This window comes from Homo sapiens, chromosome 19 (assembly GCF_000001405.40).
Source record: "Homo sapiens chromosome 19, GRCh38.p14 Primary Assembly".
Classification (NCBI taxonomy): domain Eukaryota; kingdom Metazoa; phylum Chordata; class Mammalia; order Primates; family Hominidae; genus Homo; species Homo sapiens.
Genome location: NC_000019.10, coordinates 16,362,642 through 16,380,314, shown reverse-complemented (window position 1 = coordinate 16,380,314; position 17,673 = coordinate 16,362,642). Strand labels below are relative to the sequence as shown.

At 53.6% G+C, this 17,673-nt stretch overlaps 1 protein-coding gene across 11 annotated transcripts in view, besides 5 other annotated features; it reads left to right on the top strand.

Annotated features, from left to right (window-relative positions):
- The window catches only part of EPS15L1 (epidermal growth factor receptor pathway substrate 15 like 1), a 116,766-nt gene that overhangs the window by 91,698 nt on the left and 7,395 nt on the right, over positions 1-17,673 (top strand). For 5 of the 11 annotated variants that reach the window (NR_047666.1, NM_001438226.1, NM_001438227.1 and 2 more), the window contains exon 22: positions 3,061-3,193. The exons of 3 other annotated variants lie outside the window; for them this stretch is intronic. Coding sequence is in view for 7 of the 8 variants with exons in the window: in NM_001438226.1 (NP_001425155.1) it covers positions 3,061-3,193 (133 nt within the window). In the remaining variant the exon portion in view is untranslated. Of the gene's footprint in view, positions 1-3,060; positions 3,194-6,352; positions 6,401-17,673 lie in introns of all 11 variants that reach the window. 3 more of the 11 variants (XM_017027089.3, NM_001438224.1, XM_047439174.1) reach the window with 1 other exon arrangement.
- Positions 4,070-4,571: an enhancer, noted in NCBI's record as "H3K27ac hESC enhancer chr19:16486555-16487056 (GRCh37/hg19 assembly coordinates)". NCBI's record gives its function as "activates a minimal SCP1, AML or CMV promoter by ChIP-STARR-seq in naive H9 embryonic stem cells {active_cell/tissue: H9 hESC(naive)}" and the evidence as "EXISTENCE:reporter gene assay evidence [ECO:0000049][PMID:30033119]".
- Positions 8,213-8,282: an enhancer, noted in NCBI's record as "active region_14228". NCBI's record gives its function as "activates an Ori minimal core promoter by ATAC-STARR-seq in GM12878 lymphoblastoid cells {active_cell/tissue: GM12878}" and the evidence as "EXISTENCE:reporter gene assay evidence [ECO:0000049][PMID:35858748]".
- Positions 8,423-8,592: an enhancer, noted in NCBI's record as "active region_14227". NCBI's record gives its function as "activates an Ori minimal core promoter by ATAC-STARR-seq in GM12878 lymphoblastoid cells {active_cell/tissue: GM12878}" and the evidence as "EXISTENCE:reporter gene assay evidence [ECO:0000049][PMID:35858748]".
- Positions 13,525-13,754: an enhancer, noted in NCBI's record as "active region_14226". NCBI's record gives its function as "activates an Ori minimal core promoter by ATAC-STARR-seq in GM12878 lymphoblastoid cells {active_cell/tissue: GM12878}" and the evidence as "EXISTENCE:reporter gene assay evidence [ECO:0000049][PMID:35858748]".
- Positions 13,905-13,974: an enhancer, noted in NCBI's record as "active region_14225". NCBI's record gives its function as "activates an Ori minimal core promoter by ATAC-STARR-seq in GM12878 lymphoblastoid cells {active_cell/tissue: GM12878}" and the evidence as "EXISTENCE:reporter gene assay evidence [ECO:0000049][PMID:35858748]".

Below are 17,673 nucleotides of genomic sequence, written 5' to 3'. Positions count from 1 at the left end.
CCAGAGCCTTAGGTGGCCGTGTCTGTGTGGCTAGATGCTGGAGCCTTAGATGGCTGCATTGCTGTAACTAGACACTGGAGCCTTAGATGGCCGCTTTGGTGTGACTAGATGCTGGAGCCTTACACGGCCACGTCTGTGTGACTAGATGCTGGAGCCTTAGATGGCTGCGTCTGTGCGACTAGATGCCGGAGCCTTAGACGGCCGCATCTGTGTAACCAGATGCCAGAGCCTTTGGCAGCCGCATCTGTGTGACTAGACACTGGAGCTTTAGCTGGCTGCATCAGTGTGACTAGATGCTGGAGCTTTAGACAGCTGCATTGGTGTGACTGGAAGCTAGAGCCTCAGACAGCCGCGTCTATGTGACTAGACACTGGAGTCTTAGATGGCCGTGTCTGTGTGACTAGGTGCTGGAGCCTTAGATGGCTGCATTGGTGTGGCTAGTCTACAGTCTTAGACAGCCACTTTTGTGTGACTAGATGCTGGAGCCTCAGATGGCCACATCTGTGTGACTAGATACTGGAGCCTTAGACCTCTGCACTGGTGTGACTGGACACTGTAGCCTTAGACGGCCACGTCTGTGTGACTAGACGCTGGAGCCTTAGATGGTTGCATTGGTGTGACTAAACGCTGGAGCCTTAGATGGCCTTGTCTGTGTGACTAGACACTGAAGGCCTAGATGGCCGTGTCAGTGTGACTAGACGCTGGAGCCTTAGTCAGCTGCATCGGTGTGACTAGATGCTGGAGGCAGAGGCAGCCATACCTCTAAGACTGTCTGCTGGACGTGGTGGTAGACCTTTTCCCCCACATCTGCAATCTGTTGCATTCAGATTCTCGAGGGAAACCCTGGGAGTGTGCCTTTGTACTCTTGACCTGTTCTCTGTCTCTAGGCCTTCCCTGCTGGGGAGAAAGTTAAAGACCCCCGGCCCCTCCCTCCACCTCTGCCCCACTCTGATCTTTCTCTTCTATGCTCTTGGAGGAACACATGATCTTTTTTAATTTTTTTTATTTTTTGAGATGGAGTCTCGCTCTGTTGCCCAGGAGTGCTGCTGTGGCGGGATCTCAGCTCACTGCAAGCTCCGCCTCCCAGGTTCACGCCATTCTCCTGCCTCAGCCTCCCGAGTAGTTGGGACTACAGGCGCCCGCCACCACGACCGGCTAATTTTTTGTATTTTTAGTAGAGATGGGGTTTTTCACCGTATTAGCTGGGCTGGTCTTGATCTCCTAACCTCGTGATCTGCCCGCCTCGGCCTCCCAAAGTGCTGGGATTACAGGCGTGAGCCAGTGCGCCCGGCCAGGAACACATGATCATTTTTACCCCTATTTCTGCCCATTCCTTTTGTTTCCTGTCGCAGTGTTATCTCTTTGTCCTATAATTTCCTAGTTATTTTGCATTTTTGTAACAATGTGTTTCCTCTGTTAGTAAAAATGTAGTTATTTTCTATTTTATTACAGACTTAATTATTTTCTGTTTTAGTAAGAGTGGTTACTCATCCTTCTTCTGCCCATAGAAAGTGATTTTCTCCCTCCTGGGACACCCCAGCCCCTTCCCTCAGACGCCTGAGATATGCTGGCCCTTCTGTGGCTGATGGAGACCCTGGCTCCCCTGTGCCTCACCGGCGCTCCAAGTGAGGGACAAGCATCCCCCCAGGTGGCGGCGCTTAGTATCTGCTCATCACAGGCCTGGAGGCAGCAGGTGCCGGGGAGAGGACTGTGCTTGCCCTCCAGGTGGGAGAGGCCTGGAAGCGTGTCTCTGTGGCTCAGTGAGCAGTGCAGGCGTGGGTGGCAGGAAGCAGCCCCAGGGAGAGCCCTGGGAGAGCTCTGGGGGACGGCAGTGGGGTCCAGCCAGGCTCTGAGCAAGGAGAGGGGTTCCTGGTGGACGAGGTGGGCCGAGTTCCCCAGCAGGAGACCTGAGTGTTGCAGGACTTGGAAACAGGAGGCTGAGTCAGCGGCTGGGGGGTCAGTGGGTTCTGGGGACTAAGGAGGCATTGTGAGGGGAGGGGTGACTTCAGAGGTGAGCCTGAAAAATCAGGCAGCTGGGGCAGCGATGAAGTCCCTGCATGCCTTAATGAGAGCTTGGAGCTTCCCTATAGGAAGTGCCTACCTACCTACCTACCTGCAAGACGTCGCCACATATCTGCCTCCCTGTCTACCACCCACCCGCCTCCCTGTCTCTACCTGCCCATCCATCCATCCATCCACCCACCCGCCATTCATTCGTCCATTAATCCACATATATGTCTATCCATTCATCCAACTACCATTCCATCCATCTGCCCACCCACCATCCATTCATCTATCCAATTGTTATAACTATCTCTGACTGTCTCTCTCTTTAAGCTGGAGGATATGGTCCGATTTGGGTTTGAGACAGCAGGTGTGGGGTGGAGGATGTGGATGGGTGTGATGGAGGCTGACCGAGGGTCCGGGCCAGAGGTGGTCAGAGCCCAGTGGAGGTGGCGTGGGCATGCTGACCAGTGCGGGTGGCCGGGCATGTGAGGATGCACTTCCACCTGAGGTGCTGCATGTGCAGCCCAGAGGCATGGAGGAAGAAAGTCTGGTGCCAGCTGACCCAGCACCTGGAGCTGTCCATCACTAACTGAAGGCAGTGACCACACCGGCCAGCTCAGTGGGGAGGCGGCACACCAGGGCATGTGCCAAGCACCACAGCCAGCATACAGGTGAGGGTGGGGCGTGTCTCTGAAGTGTAAGCAGGAGGCCCAAGGGACCCTATGTGCCAAGTCCTGGAGTCAGGAAAGACCCAGTGTGCCTCGTGTGACTGGGGATGCCCTTGGTGCTAGAAGCCCGTGGAGGTATGGGACTGCTCTCTGCCACCCTATGTTGGGCAGCTCATCACCCACAGGCCAGAGGGCCCCTGCTGTTGAGGGTGGAGGAAAGCATGGGGCTTGAAAGAGACCCCACGTCCAAGCAGGGCCATGTTGTGCAGTCCAGAGGGTAGGAGGCCTTGCCAGGGCCCTTGGAGCATGAGCGTCTGTTCAGTGGACATCCGTCACCTTTGTTTTAACAACTATTTTTGCCTCTCTTTCATGTCCTCTCTTACAGCCCCCACCTTCTGGCCCTTTCACCTCCTCCTTGGGAGGGGCAGGATTCTCAGATGACCCCTTTAAAAGTAAACAGGACACTCCTGCTCTGCCTCCGAAGAAACCTGCTCCTCCACGGCCTAAACCGCCCAGCGGTCAGTAAGCTTTCTTCTCTCGCAGCCACCGCCTACCGGTGCCGGATGGCGGGGGACCAGGGCCTCCCTGCTCACCAGCCCAGAGTAGCAGCAGATGCCGTGGGACCCTGTGTGGGGAGCAAGAGGGTCCCCCCGGCCCAGCTGCCCAGGTCCACGCAAGTGCCGTATGTGCGTGGTGTGTGCCTCCTGCCTGCCCGCCCTCGCCCCGTCCTGTGGGCCCCTGGGCTTCTGGCTCTGTATTGGAGTGCACAAAGCCTTGGCCTTAGAGCTCCCCTTGTGGCTGGGGGCGCTTCGTGCGGCCTCCGCCTGAGCATGTCAGTGCCACCCCGACGCCCTGGCTATACTTCAGGAGCCACTCATGGCCGGCAGCCCTGTGGCCACTCTGGCCCCTTCTCTTCCGTCCTTCTCCCTGTCCGTGCTCAGGGAGGGCCTGTTGGGGGTGAGGGTGGCAGGAGTCGCTGCTTGGTCCAGTCCCTTCCCAGCTGCTTCAGGACTGAGAGTGGAGGGAGCGGGAGATTGTCCTTGGTGGCATCTGATGTGAGGAGGCAGGATGGCTCGGGGCTCCCCTCTGCCCCAGCTTGCCCAGGCATCTCAACGCACAGCTCTGAGGAGGGGACTTCCTACAGGCCCTGCCCCTCTTCCCCATGGCCAGTGCTGCCAATGTCTCCTAGCCTTGGCCCTCGAGGGTCCCCTGAGGATTCTGAAGCCCTTTAACTCACACGTGGGATTTCTCTCGTATGACAGAGTTAGGCCGGCGGCCAGTTGGCCAGACTCTCAAACAGAAAGCTATTGCTTCAAGTGGCAGAAGGAGTCACTGCAGCTCCCTGATCCATTTATCTACCCGGTCATTGCCTGTTCCATCTGTGCCCCGGTCTGGGACGCCTCCTATTCTCTAACCTCCAGGCAGACTGTTCCCCACACTGTCCCTGAATTGTGGGCAGCCACAGGAGACCCACGCACTCCCAGGATCATGCCTTCTGTTACCTGTCTTCCCTAGATAGGGCATGCCCCCGAGCCCTTTCCATCAGCTCCAGCGAGGGAAGTGGTGCTCACCCTCCTGCCTACACGTGCCCCTCCCCTGGAATCTGCCACTGGCCTCACTTTGCAGCCCCTGTGTCATCGCAGGTCCTGGAATGGACCTAGCAGGCTCCGCATGCCCCCAGCTCACTAGTTACGAGTGACCCTCGGTCCTGCACCTCGGCCACCTGTCAGTAGAGGTGAACATAGGGGAAGTTATTTTTAGAACACCGCCTCTCTCCTCCTGTCCCCTGGGCTGGCCATGGCCTTCTCTCAGGAGGATGGGGACCCAGCCCGCAGTGCCCAGGTTGGCTTTCTTGTGGATGAGTCAGGAGAAAAAGTATGACCAAGTATGGGCTGTGTGGATTTAGAGCAGATTTTCTGTGAACTGTTGAGCAGATACAGATGCGTAAAGAGATCATTTCTGTAAGCCACACATCAAAGACATTTACCATCAGGAGGAAAAACAAAACAACAAAGGGACTCCCTTCCATCTGCAAGAGGCCACCTGTGCCTTACACAGAGGCAGTGGCTCTTCAGGGATCCTTGTTGGCTTCCTGATGGAACGGCAGTGGGCCTCTTCACTCTGCCTAAAAGATGGGAGCAGAAGCACACACACACACACACACACACACACATATATGCATAATCACAATGCATGCACACAGCTGGCACACATGCATGTGCACATTCCCACGTGCGGCCATGTATTTTTATGCATGTATGTGCACGTACACGTGTATGCTCTTGCATGCACATGTGTACCCTGTGTACACACATCCTCCACGCCTGCAGACACATGCATGCATGCACCTGTTTGCACATGAACACACATGCATACAGGTGAGCATGCATTCACATACATACTGCATCACATGAGTATTCTCGCATGTGCCTGCATGTACGCATATGCAGGCACACACGCACTCTCCCATGCACCCCTCCGTGCACACTCTCCATGCTTATATGCATCTGTGGACATGTGTGCATATTCTCTTGTCAGTACACACATGCATGCATAGAGATGAGCAGCATGCACTCACATACTGCATTGTGCATGCCTGCACACACACATGCTCTCATAGATAACAGCTGGGCATGCACACCCTCCATGCTTATATATGTGCATGCATTCATTGAGACATGCACATATTCACATGTGAACATATACATGAATACAGGTGAGCATTACACAGATATTGCATAATGCATGCATGCAAACGTGCACACACATATGCGTGCGTGTGTGCTCATACACACCCGGGCATGCACACTCTGTGCTTACATACGTGTACACACATTTACACACATGTGCACGTATTCTCATATGGGTGCACACACTTGCCGAGCAGTGCCGTATTTGCTGGGCCCTGAGGAGGAGCCATCCCACTCAACAGCTCACAGGTGCAAAGCTTCATTTTCAGTGTTTCATGGAAACCGCCACCCCCGCCTCCCCACGTACCTAAACCCGGCGCTGGGTCTGCTTTTGAACTTTCCCTCAGTTATCACCTCCCATCGTGTCTCCCTCTGCAAGCCTACCCACCCCACCTTGGCTTCTGCTGTTAGTGTACTGTGGGCTTCGAAAGCAGAAAAGAATGCTTGTTAAAAGTAGAACGTTTGATAACGGGAGTTTGGGTGACTTCCTTGGGCCTGGCTTCAGGGTTCAGGCTTTTTAGGGAGCTGTTGCACAATTTGAGACCCAGGGGGTCCTGGGCTCCTTTACTCGTGGCACAGGCCACTGCATCTTTGTTCTGCTGTGGTTGATGGTTGCTGTGCCACTCGGTGCTCTGCAGAAATATATTAACATTGATGGGCCCTTAGGAAGTGCTTGAACAGTTCTTATCTCACTAGGTCCCAGCAAGACCCGTGAGGGAGACAGGCCAGGCCATGCCCATTTCCTGGAAGAGGAAAGGCGGGGAGGGAGGTCATGGGGGCTCCCCAAGGTCACACAGCAAGGTGGCAGCAGGGCCAGGTCTACACCCAGTGACCTGCCTCCTGCCCCAAGACAGGAGTAACGAGAACCAAGCCATGAGCTTCAGAACATTCTCTAAAACAGCCAATGCACGCGCAGCATTTTAAGTCCGGAGCAACTGCAGATCTGTGTGGAGGCCTAAATATTTCTCATTTGATTCTTTTACCCAGAAGCAATGGCTGAACAGAAAAATTCTGCATTGTACTCGCTGCTGGGTGGTAGGTACAGACCGTGTGGTGGTTGCCGTTTGAGCTTGCAGCATTATTTGTGCTGTGATTCCGTACTAACCTCTAACAGTCCAAACACTGAGTTGACCCAGTGGTTGACCTTTGGTGAGTCACATGTTGGGGAGAAGTGTTTGGCTCTTTGGGGAATTGCAAAGGAAGATGCTTGCCCTACCCTTGCTCTCTGGTCAAGGGAATCAGAGCCGGGCTCTGTACAATTCCCTTCCCGGTTCCTGGCCACACGGCACAGACCCACGTGCAGCCCAGGAGGCCTCTGGTTATGGGCAAGAGCGGTCAGCAGATGAGTGTCGGGTGAAGTCGTGCTCAGAAAGTTCGCCAGGAAGACACAAGGCAGATCTCTTGTTTTCTTGGCTTCTTTAAGACAGAAGATAGTGAAGCTAATCTGTGAATTTTTTTTTTTTTTTTTAAGCATAAAGTCCAACGTTTTCAAACTGCTGGACTTTATGTTTTCTTAAAACAAACAAACAAACCAAAAAAAGCCTTTCTGCCTTTCTTGCTACCCCAGGCTTTTTCTGCTCAGGGAGACCACACGGCCAGCACACAGTGACGGCCGCCTTCCCCTGGCCACCCCAGGGCTTCCCAGATGCTGGGGCTTTGCGCGAGATGCGTGGGTCCCAGCGTGGCTGAGTGAGGAGGAAGGTGAAATGCGACCCCCTGTGAGCCTGGCGGTCGAGCCTTGAGCTGGTGGAGATAGACAGACTGACAAAAAGTCTGAAGGACCCATAGGCTGTCCAGTGGGCAGTCTTAAACATGCACACAGCGTTGACACCTGCACTCATGGAAATCACAATGAAGGAACAAGCTTTTCTGTCATCTCTCCGCCTGGCACATGGAACATGTCTGATGTCCCATGCTCCCATCCAGGGTTTGTCCATCCCAGGGCACCCAGAGGTTTCTAGAACCCTGCTAGGCCTCTGTGCCAGGAAATGGCTGATGTGTGAGGCCAGGACAGGAGAACTGAGGCCGCTTCCTTCTGTCCTCTGGGCAGCCAATTCTGCTAGAATCCAGGGGACTGCTTGATCAGGCTGGTTTCTGGACATTGGAGGAAAGGGAGGCCCCGGGTGGGTCACTTAACCTCCCTGAGCCTCAGTTTTCCTGCCTGACCATGGGACCCACTCAGGCCTAGCAGGTGGGTGTGTGGGTGAAGCGCCTTGCACGGTGACGTGCTGTATGTGGTCTGTAGCCCCCATCCCCACCCTGCGGCACAGGGACCGGGACGCAGGCTTCTGCCATATGGGCACCTTTTCCAGGAAAGACAGGCTGGGCAGCTGAGGTGGCTGCACACATTCTGGGAGTCATTAATTGGGCCCTTTTCTCCCTGTGAGGTCACAGTTTAGTGGAAATCTTTTCCGTTAAAAAAAGCGTGCAGGGAGTTGAACTTCAAAGAGGGCTCCAGCGTCCTCTGTGGGTCATCGCTCATACAGGACCAAATGTGAGTTTGGGTCTGAGTCACGTGTGGCTTTGGTGCCATCTCTTGTGTTCTAGAGGCTGCAGTTTTCAAATTCCGTGGGAGCTGCTTGTCTTATTTTGTTTAAAGGTCAATTGAGGTGAAATTGACATTTGGTGTGGCTGGCATGCAGTGTGGGTGCACGGGCAGACAGGTGTTGACCTGGACAGTCACAGGTGGACCCCTCCACCTGGGAACCTGCAGAGGTTCCTCGAGGGAGAGTTCCGGTCACAGCGTACAGCTGAGTAGCCCACAGTTGGCCATCTGCCCTCAAGGCCACATACTCAGTTCTGTCTCCATCTAAGCCAGAAAGTGCACTCTGGGGACCACCAAGGGCCATCTCCTGGGGCATGCATGGAGCTTTGGTGTGGGCACTAAGTTCTTCTTGCCTGGAGGTCTTTTCAAGAAAGGTGTATCAAGGTATTAAATAACCAGCAGGTGTCTGTTTTGGGCAGAAGAAACTGGTTTCTTTCAGGCAGATGCAGCACAGACCCGGCAGGCTGCCGAAACCTGTCAGTTAGAGTTAGGTTAAAGTTAGCCGTGGCACACACCTCCCCCAGGTAAACAATGGTATATTTTCTGCAACGGACCGGAGATCAAGATCAGTCAGAGCTCACCGCTGAAGAGTTTCTAGGTAAAAGTTGTTGATTTGCAAAGAGAGAAACAGATTTTTTTTTTAAGTGCAGGAAACGGCTGTGTGGGTGTCAGTGATTGGGCCTCAGCCCTGCTGCGATAGTGGGATCCTGCGACCGGCCCCACCCTTGCCACTTCCTGCCAGCGCGGCCCTGCGTTGCGGTTCCTGCCTGCAGCGCCCGGTGACACCAGCCAGCGCAGTTCTACCGCTAACCAGCCAGTCACCTTTAACCTCTCCCCAATTTAATGATTATTTTATTACTGCTAATGACCTTTTCACCTCCTAAACAAAGCCGCATAGGTGATGGTGATGAGCATGTCTTTTCGCCCCCTCCCCACAGTTGCACTAACGAACAGCTTTTACCTAAGTTTAACCAGCGGCTGTCCTGTTTGATTTGAGCAGCTCTCTCAACAAAAGAAGAAGACAAAAGTCATTCTTCCCCTTGCAAACAAGCCCCTCCCGTACCTGTGTGTGGCATCCACCCAGGGTGGCCGTGAGTTCTTGACCTCCCTGCCGGGGGTGCCACACAGGATGCAGCCACCGAGGAAGCCCTGAGGTCCTAAGTGCTGCCAGCTCTCCCACTTCTCTGAAATGCCAGGCCAACATCGAAACCAGGGCTCAGTGACCTCTCCCCATCATGTGCCCATGTGGGTCCCAAAACCTTTTGTTGATTGCACAAGATCCACTTTAAAAATGGCATCTCCATTTGAACCCTGCGGTTAGCACCTCAGCCTTGAACTTAACTACTTCAATTTCGTTCCCACGATGATCTCAGAGAGATAATCCGGTGGGTACATGTGAAATTCTACAATGGGACAAGTGGTTCCACCATCTCAAGGGGCCTGGAAAATTCTGGCACTTGCCTGCCAGCCAGGATGGGGAGGGGGTCCCAAGGAGCCTAAAACGGCCAACCAGGTGGAGTCCCTCTTTCCTGCCCACGCCCCCCATCCCCCAGCACTGCTGTGTTCAAGGAAGCTTCAGAGCTTCCGTCTGAGCCCTCTGGAAGGTCTGTCTTAGGGCTGGGTGGGACCTGCTGACGGTGCCAAGGAACGGTCCCACTCTGAGAGGGAGGAATGTCAGCCTTGTATGTTTAAACTGACTGCAGGCAGATTGCCGTTTGGAGCACTTTCTGTTCTGTAAAGACCACTGAGTTTGAAAATAGAAGCATTTGCCTTCCTGGGCACACTGTACCCAGAGGCGGATCCAGGGAGTGTCGTGTGACTCGATTATCATCTGGTGTTCAGTGGGGTGCAAATGCTGAGGCCTGGGGGGCTGCAGGGTGGGGTGCAGGCCTAGAGTGGCTGGGCTCCCACCCCAGCATCTGAGTATAGGTGTGAACAGACGGGAGCCATCGCCCTGGGGACATCGGGTGTACCTGCCTCCAGGACACCTCAACCCCTTGCTTGGCACCTGAGGGAGGTGAGGGCTGGGGCAGACGCCTCAGAAGGGGGCTCTGGGTGCAGCTCTGGGCACCGCCTCCCTGCTTTTCTGGCGGGGTGAACATGGCCCCTCATCTTTCATCTCTCCTATTCAAAGCCCTGAGTCAGCGCGCCCCTTGCCTGCCACTGCTAACTGCAAAATATCACATGCACTCGGGCAATGGGGAATCTGGCCATAAAGAGAGCAAAAGTGTCCCCCACCATGGGAGCTCCTGGTGGGCTCTGCGCCTCACTTGCTCCCCTCCCAGGGGCTCTTTTGGGTCCTTTCATGCACGACCCCTAACCAGCTTTCAGACTCGCTGCACGGCGTTCTCAGGGATCTTGTTACATGTGGGCAAGGCGCCTTCCTACCCTTTGCAGAGGTGGCGTCTGCGACATTGGCACACTCCGTAGGGAGGAACAAAGCTGGGCCCCCTTGCCCTGTCAGGGCTCCCCGTGCCTGGCTCATGCATAGATAGCATCTCTCCCTGGAAATCCCCCCAGAGGATGGGGCTGACACCCAGGGGTGTTCACGCAGGGTATGTCAAAGGTGCCCGCCAGAGAACAAATGCGAATTTTCAAAGAAGCCAGAATTGTGACACCTGCCAGTCTGTATTATTTTTGTCATGAAGACTGGCTTGTGATTTGTAAATTCATTTCCAAATCACATACCCCACCCTACACACACACACACACACACACACACACACACTTTTTTTTCTTCCAGGGCTGGTGCAGCCCTTGCCTGGCAGGTTTTATGTAAATGTCATGGGAGCCTTTTGTGGTGACCTCTAGAAAATTGTTATTTCTCACTTCAAATGATATTTGCCTTTTGAGGACCCCAAGGCACAGCACCTTTTCCCCACTTTCTTCTTTTAATGGCAAGATGAGGCCACAGCCATTGGGTTCAACAGCCCCCTGCCCACCTCACACACCTCACAGGGCAGGAAAACACAGCGGCCAGCAGTGGCTCGTAGTAAATATTTGTTCAGCTTTTCTCAACAGTTCAGAACCAAACCTCATCCTGTTCCCTTCAATGCATGAAGCAGATTTTCTCAAAATTCGGTAAATATTTTTAGTGGAAAATCTCAACGCTGCGATCGCAGGGACCTCAGATTCTTATCTCCCGGGGCTGTGCTGCTTGACACAGCTTTGATCTAAGGCAGAGTGCGCGCGGGGCTGGTGCCTGCAGGACTCCCAGCCTGCAGGTCCCTTACGTGGTCCCGTGTGTCACATTGTAAAAAACAAACTCCCCTCATGTGTCTTAGATGGGAGCCAGAGGAAGACGTTGACGTGTGTTGGGGAAAAGCACTCTTTCAAGACAAGTCCCCGAGCAGTGATGAATTTTAGAACCTATACTGTTTTCTTTCTCCCCTCTCCCCGCAGCTAAGCTTTTTTTCTGGCAGGATGGGGAGGGTGGAATAAGACATGTCAGTGGCCTTGGATGAGCTCTGCTGGAGTGGTGCCCCGCCCGGGCCACTGCTCTCCTAGGCAGCGTGACTCTCAGAAACCTGGCAGTTGTATGGGCATCTGTGTTGTGTAGGATGAATGACAGTTGTGGTTGTGTGGGATCACCTGTTGTGTAGGGTGAATGACAGTTGCATAGGTGTCTGTGTTGTGTAGGGTGAATGATGGTTTTGTGGGATCACCTGTTGTGTAGGGTGAATGACAGTTAGGTGGGTGTCTGTGTTATGTAGGGTGAATGATGGTTTTGTGAGATCGCCTGTTGTGTAGGGTGAATGACAGGTGGGTGCCTGTGTTGTGTAGGGTGAATGATGGTTGTGTGGGCACCACCTGTTGTGTGGAATGAATAACAGTTGTGTGGGTGTGCATGTTGTGCAGGATGAACGAGAGATGTGTGGGATCACCTGTTGTGTAGGGTGAATGACAGTTGTGTGGGTGTCTGTGTTCTGCAGGATGAATGACAATTGTGTGGGCATCCTCTGTTGTGTAGGATGAATGGGAGTTGTGTGAGTGTCCATATTGTGCAGGATGAATGACAGTTGTGTAGCCATCTCCTGTTGTGTAGGATCAATGATGCTTGTGCATGTGTGTCCCCTGTTGTGTAGGATCAATGATGGTTGTATGTGTGCGTCCACTGTTGTGTAGGATCAGTGATGCTTGTGTGTGTGTGTCCCATTGTGTAGGATCAATGATGGTTGTGTATGTGTGTCCACAGTTGTGTAGGATGAGTGAGAGTTGTGTGATCGTTCTGTGTTGTATAGGATAATAGCGAAGGTGGGCAGCTTCCCTGACCACAAACCCTTGTTTTGTATTTTTTTGTTTTCTTTTTGTTTTTGTATGTATCTCTCATCTGCAGAACTGCATTTTCCAAGTACAGCACTGAACTGAACTGTATAAACAGAACCTAGCCAGGATCAAACACACACACACACACACACACTCTCTCTCTCTCTCACTCTCATGTTTATTACTAATATTTTTATTAATCGGATTGATTGAGACCATACCTCACCTGAACCTTTTATGCTCCTCCTAAGCAAAAAATTTAAACCAAGAGAGTTTCCTTTCCAAGGTTTTTATAGCATTCACCGTTTTTATGGTTTGCAATTGTATATTTCTATTCAATTTTTTGTTTGTTTGTTGTTTTTTGGGTTTTTTTTTTTTTTTTTTTGCTTTGCACCCAGCTCTTGAGGATGCTTTTAAGCGGAGGGCTTCCTGCAAAGCAAGATAGAAAAGTCAGAACCTTGAAAAACTTTGCTGACCAAGAACGCTAGTGCAGCAGAGCCAGCCCCATCACAGCCCCGATCCCGGGTGCTAGGGGCGTGCGCAGCCTCGAGAAGAAGCTTGAGAAATAGGAGAATTAAAGAAATTTCTATCAGGGTGGAGCCGGCCACCAAGTTTTTTTTTTTTTTTTTTTTTTTTTTTTTAACAGCACATACTGTGGTAAACCATTTGGTTCATATTGTTTTTGCTAAAGTCAGTCCTGTGTGTGGTTTCGGTACACCGCTTGGGTAACTGTTGAAACTGCTGTGGTTTGAAAATAAGTTCTATTTTGTGTTTTCTTCAGTCTTGTATCCCTTGCCCCCTGTTAATGAAGTCTCCCTGCGGTAGGCAGTCAGCACACCCAAGAGGGTCTTTAATTTCATTTGTCTTTATTCACTGCCGTCTGCTGTGGTCCCCGGTAGTTCCCGCTGCAAATATCTAGGATTGATGGCATCGAACCAGGTGCCAGGATGATGCCTGGCACCTGGTTTGATGCCATCATTCCCAGATGTTTCTATACCCACTTTTTTGGGTTTTGTTTTCATGATTTCCATCCCCTTTTCTGAAATGCGCGTCAGTAAAGCTCTCTCCTTACTCATGTTTTCTGGAGCCATAAAAAAGTATAAAACCCTGGCGTGGGTGCGCGTGGCAGCTTTTGCTTCAGGGCCTGGAGGCAGATTAAAGTTACTTTGTCACGTTTGAGATAAGCTATACCTCACAAAATCGGAAAAAACGATTAAGGAGTTAGCAGAAGTGGTTACATAAAAGCAGGAACTAGACCTAGAAGGTTTGAAAAATACAGCCGCTAAAAATAAATCGCTGAGCAAAAGTGGGAAGTTTGGGCTGAGGGCCGTGGCCCTACAGTGATGCCGGGGGCTTTCTTTGCTCAAAGCGTCTGGTCATTAGCAAGGTCGAGAGCTGGACCGGGCACTCGGCTGACCTCACACGTGTCAGGTCCAAAATCTCCTCTCTTACCAAAGCACAAACACTAACAACTGAGAAAAAAACCGTTGTTGTTGTTGATGTTCCTTCTGAAAACAAGAGGCCAGCAGTTGATGTGCCCTGGTTTCATATTACCATAGTCATGATTTCTAAATAACAACGGTTTCGGCAACAGAGCAAAACCAGGCACAGGCAGTTCTTGGTGTGAACGAAGCTTTTCATCTCTCTGAACATCTCTTTGCGCATCAGAAACCTCAGCTTGAAATGGTAGCAGGCAGAATTCTTAACCGCTCCTCCCAAAAACCAATTTCTTTTTTTTAAACCCCCCAAACCAAGGGAGGAAGATCTTCATTGAAAAGAAGAAGAAAAGCAGCTCAAAAATGACTGATTTATTTGAACCTTCTGTACCGTGGCAGTCGCTCTTGGGGGCCTGGCTGGGGCGTCCTCCCTTTACACCTCCCTCCACATTCTTGCAAATCTGCCTCAGGTGATCACTCCCTGCAGGAACGGCTTCGAGAAATCAAGCAGTGTCCACCCTGGACTTGCTGCCCGTCCCAGGGGGCTACACCGTGTCCTGGGACTTTGAGCTTCTCCCCTGGAAACACTTAACTGTTTCCTCTGCTAGAATCTTGCTATTTGATCCATATCACATAGGTATTCGAGGAAAAATCAAATACCCAAGCATGCACAGTAACATTGCTGTTTCCTGCAAACCAGGAAGGGCAGATGCCTTTATTCCCTTCTCGCTCCCCAGGGTGTTGCTCCAAAGGGCCCCAGGTCCCTGGAGACCCGTGGAATCTGTAACAGGTGGCACCTGGTTCACCAGGACCTCCTGAAGCCCACTGTGTGCCGAGCCCTGGGCTGGAGGGCACCAGGGACATGGGGCAGTATTGGCTGGCATTTGTGGTATGCTGGGCCCGCTTTTCACAGAGCTGACCCTCAGCCGTGCCAGAGGCCAGTGCCACGGGAAGCAGAGTGGTGAGGGACCCTGGGGGAGGGGGGGCTTTCCCGTGGAGGGAGAAGCTGGGCAGAAGCAGGCAGGGGCTCGAGGGACTGGCTGAGGTCACTGTCCCTATCCCCTGCAAACCCACAGGCTGGGGTGCAGGACACTGTCACACTGTCCCCCAGGGTGCCCCTGCCGGTGGCTTTGGTGGCTCCCTGCTCACACTTGCTCTATCTCAGCCTAAACAGCAGACATGGATTGTCCCGCAGTTCTAGAGGCTCAAAGTCCAAGATCAAGGCGCCAGTGGGGTTGGTTTCTTCTGAGACCTCTCCTTGGCCTGGTGCATCTTCACATTGCTGTTCTGTGTGTAGATCTGTGTCCTAAGTTCTTTCAGTGAAGACAGTCATTGATCCTTTGACTTCGTTTTAACTCAGTTACCCCTTTAAATATGCTATCTTCAAGTATGGTTATATTCTAAGGCACAGGGGTTAGGACTTGAACGTATGAACAATTGTTGGGGGGACACAGCCCTTTGTTTGGATTAAGAAACAGGCTGAGGGGGGTGGCCGCCATGCCCCACACCGTCTTCCAGGGCCACTCCCAGCCCCAGGGCTTGGCTGCAGAGCTGAACACAGGCATGATGGGGAAGGGGCTGCCATTTCTTCCCTGAGAAGGCCACTGCCTGTGATGGCATTCCAGTTGGGAGTGCCTTCCAGGCAGAGGGACAAGGCATAGCCAGGAAAGAAGCCCTGGGTTTGGGGGTTCCTGGGGAAGGAGGTGCCACCTGGACAAGACTGGGGTGTCATCCCCAAGCGGGAGAAGCCCTCAAGCAGTCTGGGCAGGGTGCTGGGGCCCACCTGTGTTGAGGCCACTTTGCTGGGTGGGTTTGGCTCACAGGGAAGGGAGCCGAGCTGGTGGGCGGCCGATAGGGAGATGAGGCTTCTAGGGACGGGAGGGTGGAGGTGAGGGGCCCTCGCCCACCCTCCATCCTGCTCAGGAGCCCTAGGGAGCCCCTTCTGCTCCAGTGGACAGCCTGGGGCTCACAGGAGGCTGGGCAGGCCTCACTTGACCCCCGCCCGCCAGAGCTGCCTGCCCGTCCCTTAGGAGAGGGAACGGGGCAACTCCGGGAGACCTGGCAGCGAGGCCTTGGCTTACCATTGGCTCATGCCTGGGACCAGGAGTGGCCCTGCATGGGAGGCCGTCTCAAGGTGGGGGTGTGAGGCAGTTCCTCAAGGCCAGCGGAACCAGCCCGGGGTCTGCGGGCTGGGCCAGATCACCCTGCTCTCTGCAGCCCCGGGGAGGTCGGGGTAGGAGGAGGCCGCAGTAGAGCTGAAGGTGGGAGGGACATCTGGGGATAGAAAAAGGGAGACACCTAGAAAGCTCGGGTGTGGGGACTGCCCTGAGAGGGCAGGCGCTGTCGGAAGGAGAGGGGCCACATTCCTGTCCTGCCCGCGTGGGCTGGGCACTGCCCCTCTAGGGAAGGGTCTCCAGCATGGCTTGCCCACAAGTTTTGGCAAAGATAGGCCCCTTCCAGATTGCAGGGCCCCCTCTGCTAACTGGGCCTTGGGTCTGACAGTGAATTGATTTGAGGCCACAGGAGGAGACTGATACCAGGCCTCGACCTCCCCTCTTTCTCATCCATGTGAGTCCTAATAGAGCCCAGGACAGCTCGCCCTCCAACCCTGAGGAGGAGCCTCTTAGATGGACTCACACAGACAAGGAGTCTGGAAGGATCTCCCGCAGCTGGTGGCCAGAGGTCAGCTAAGGATGCAACGGCGACCCCGGTGGAACCCTGTGGGACGGGCAGAGGCGGACAGGCAGGCCGCAAGGGTGGGCTGCAGGGGAGTTTGTCTCCGAGTCCTTCTGTGCAAACCGTGGGAAGGAAGACTGTTTTTCCTTGAATATGCAAAAAGAAAGCAGCAGTCCTTATGCTGGCCCAGAACTGCCGGTTGAGAGAAAAGTGAATTTCCATTTCCAGAAGTAGGGCTACAGGCAAGGGGGGGCTACGGGCCAGGTTCTCACTGGCCTATGCTGGGCACGGCGGTGCAGGACACTGAGTGGGAGGAGACTCCTGGACCCCAGGAATGTCACCTTGTTTGGCGCCCTCCTTCTCATTTCCACTTCACAGATAAGGAAACGGAGGCCAGCTGGGAGGAGGCACTTTCCCTTGCCGAGGCCCAGAGCTAAAGGTGGCAGATGGGGGCTGTAGCCCCGGAGCCCACAAGGACACCTGGGGCCTCAAAAATGAGGCCTGGGATGGCTGATCTGCTGGGGGAACAGAGGGAAAGGCTTTAGATCTGGGCATGGAGAGGGACCGAGGCTGGCCTGTGTGGGCTCGTTCTACCGGATGAGGAAGGCAGGTGTCCCAGGCTCAGGTGGTGGGCGGGGCAGGTGTGGCTGGGAGCCAGGGTGCTCTCTGGAGGTGCAGCCAGAGATCCAAGGTCAACCCTGGAGGGACAGGCAGTTCCTGGTTTTTTCTAAACATTAGCTTCGAAACTTCCAGAGTTAACACGCCGGAATCGTGTTGCATATTATTGAGCTTCCAGTCTGGGGTGCTGCGTGGACCACGTTGAATGCCCAGGGACTCCGTTGGGCAGATAGAGGGGTGTCAGGAGCATGGAGTCAGCCCGGCTGGCCTGCAAACTGCAGATGCTGGAAGGCCCGTCAGGTGGGACCTCCCGTCACCAAGCAGATCTTAACAGGCCTCTGCTTCTTGGTGGAATGTTCTGGTACATTGGCAGGATGCACTGGGAAAAGCTACCATCCTCAGGCCATGTCCCCCACACAGTGTCATTTTCCTCCATTTCTGAACACTTCTCTCTCACCTCCCTGTCAAGATATACCTTGCTGGGACCGGGCATCCTGGAGTTCCCTGCTTGGCAGAAGCCCAGAAAGGCCCAGATAAACGCTGCCCCTTGGAGCCACCAACACCAGAGGGACAGAAGTGGGGGCTAAAAAAGAACTTAAGGCCAGGTGCAGTGGCTCATGCCTGTAATCCCAGCACTTTGGGAGGCTGAGGCGGGCAGATGACTTGAGGGCAGGAGTTTGAGGCTAGCCTGGGCAACATGGCAAAATCCCATCTCTACTAAAAATACAAAAATTAGCCACGCATGGTGGCTCATGCCTGTAGGAGGC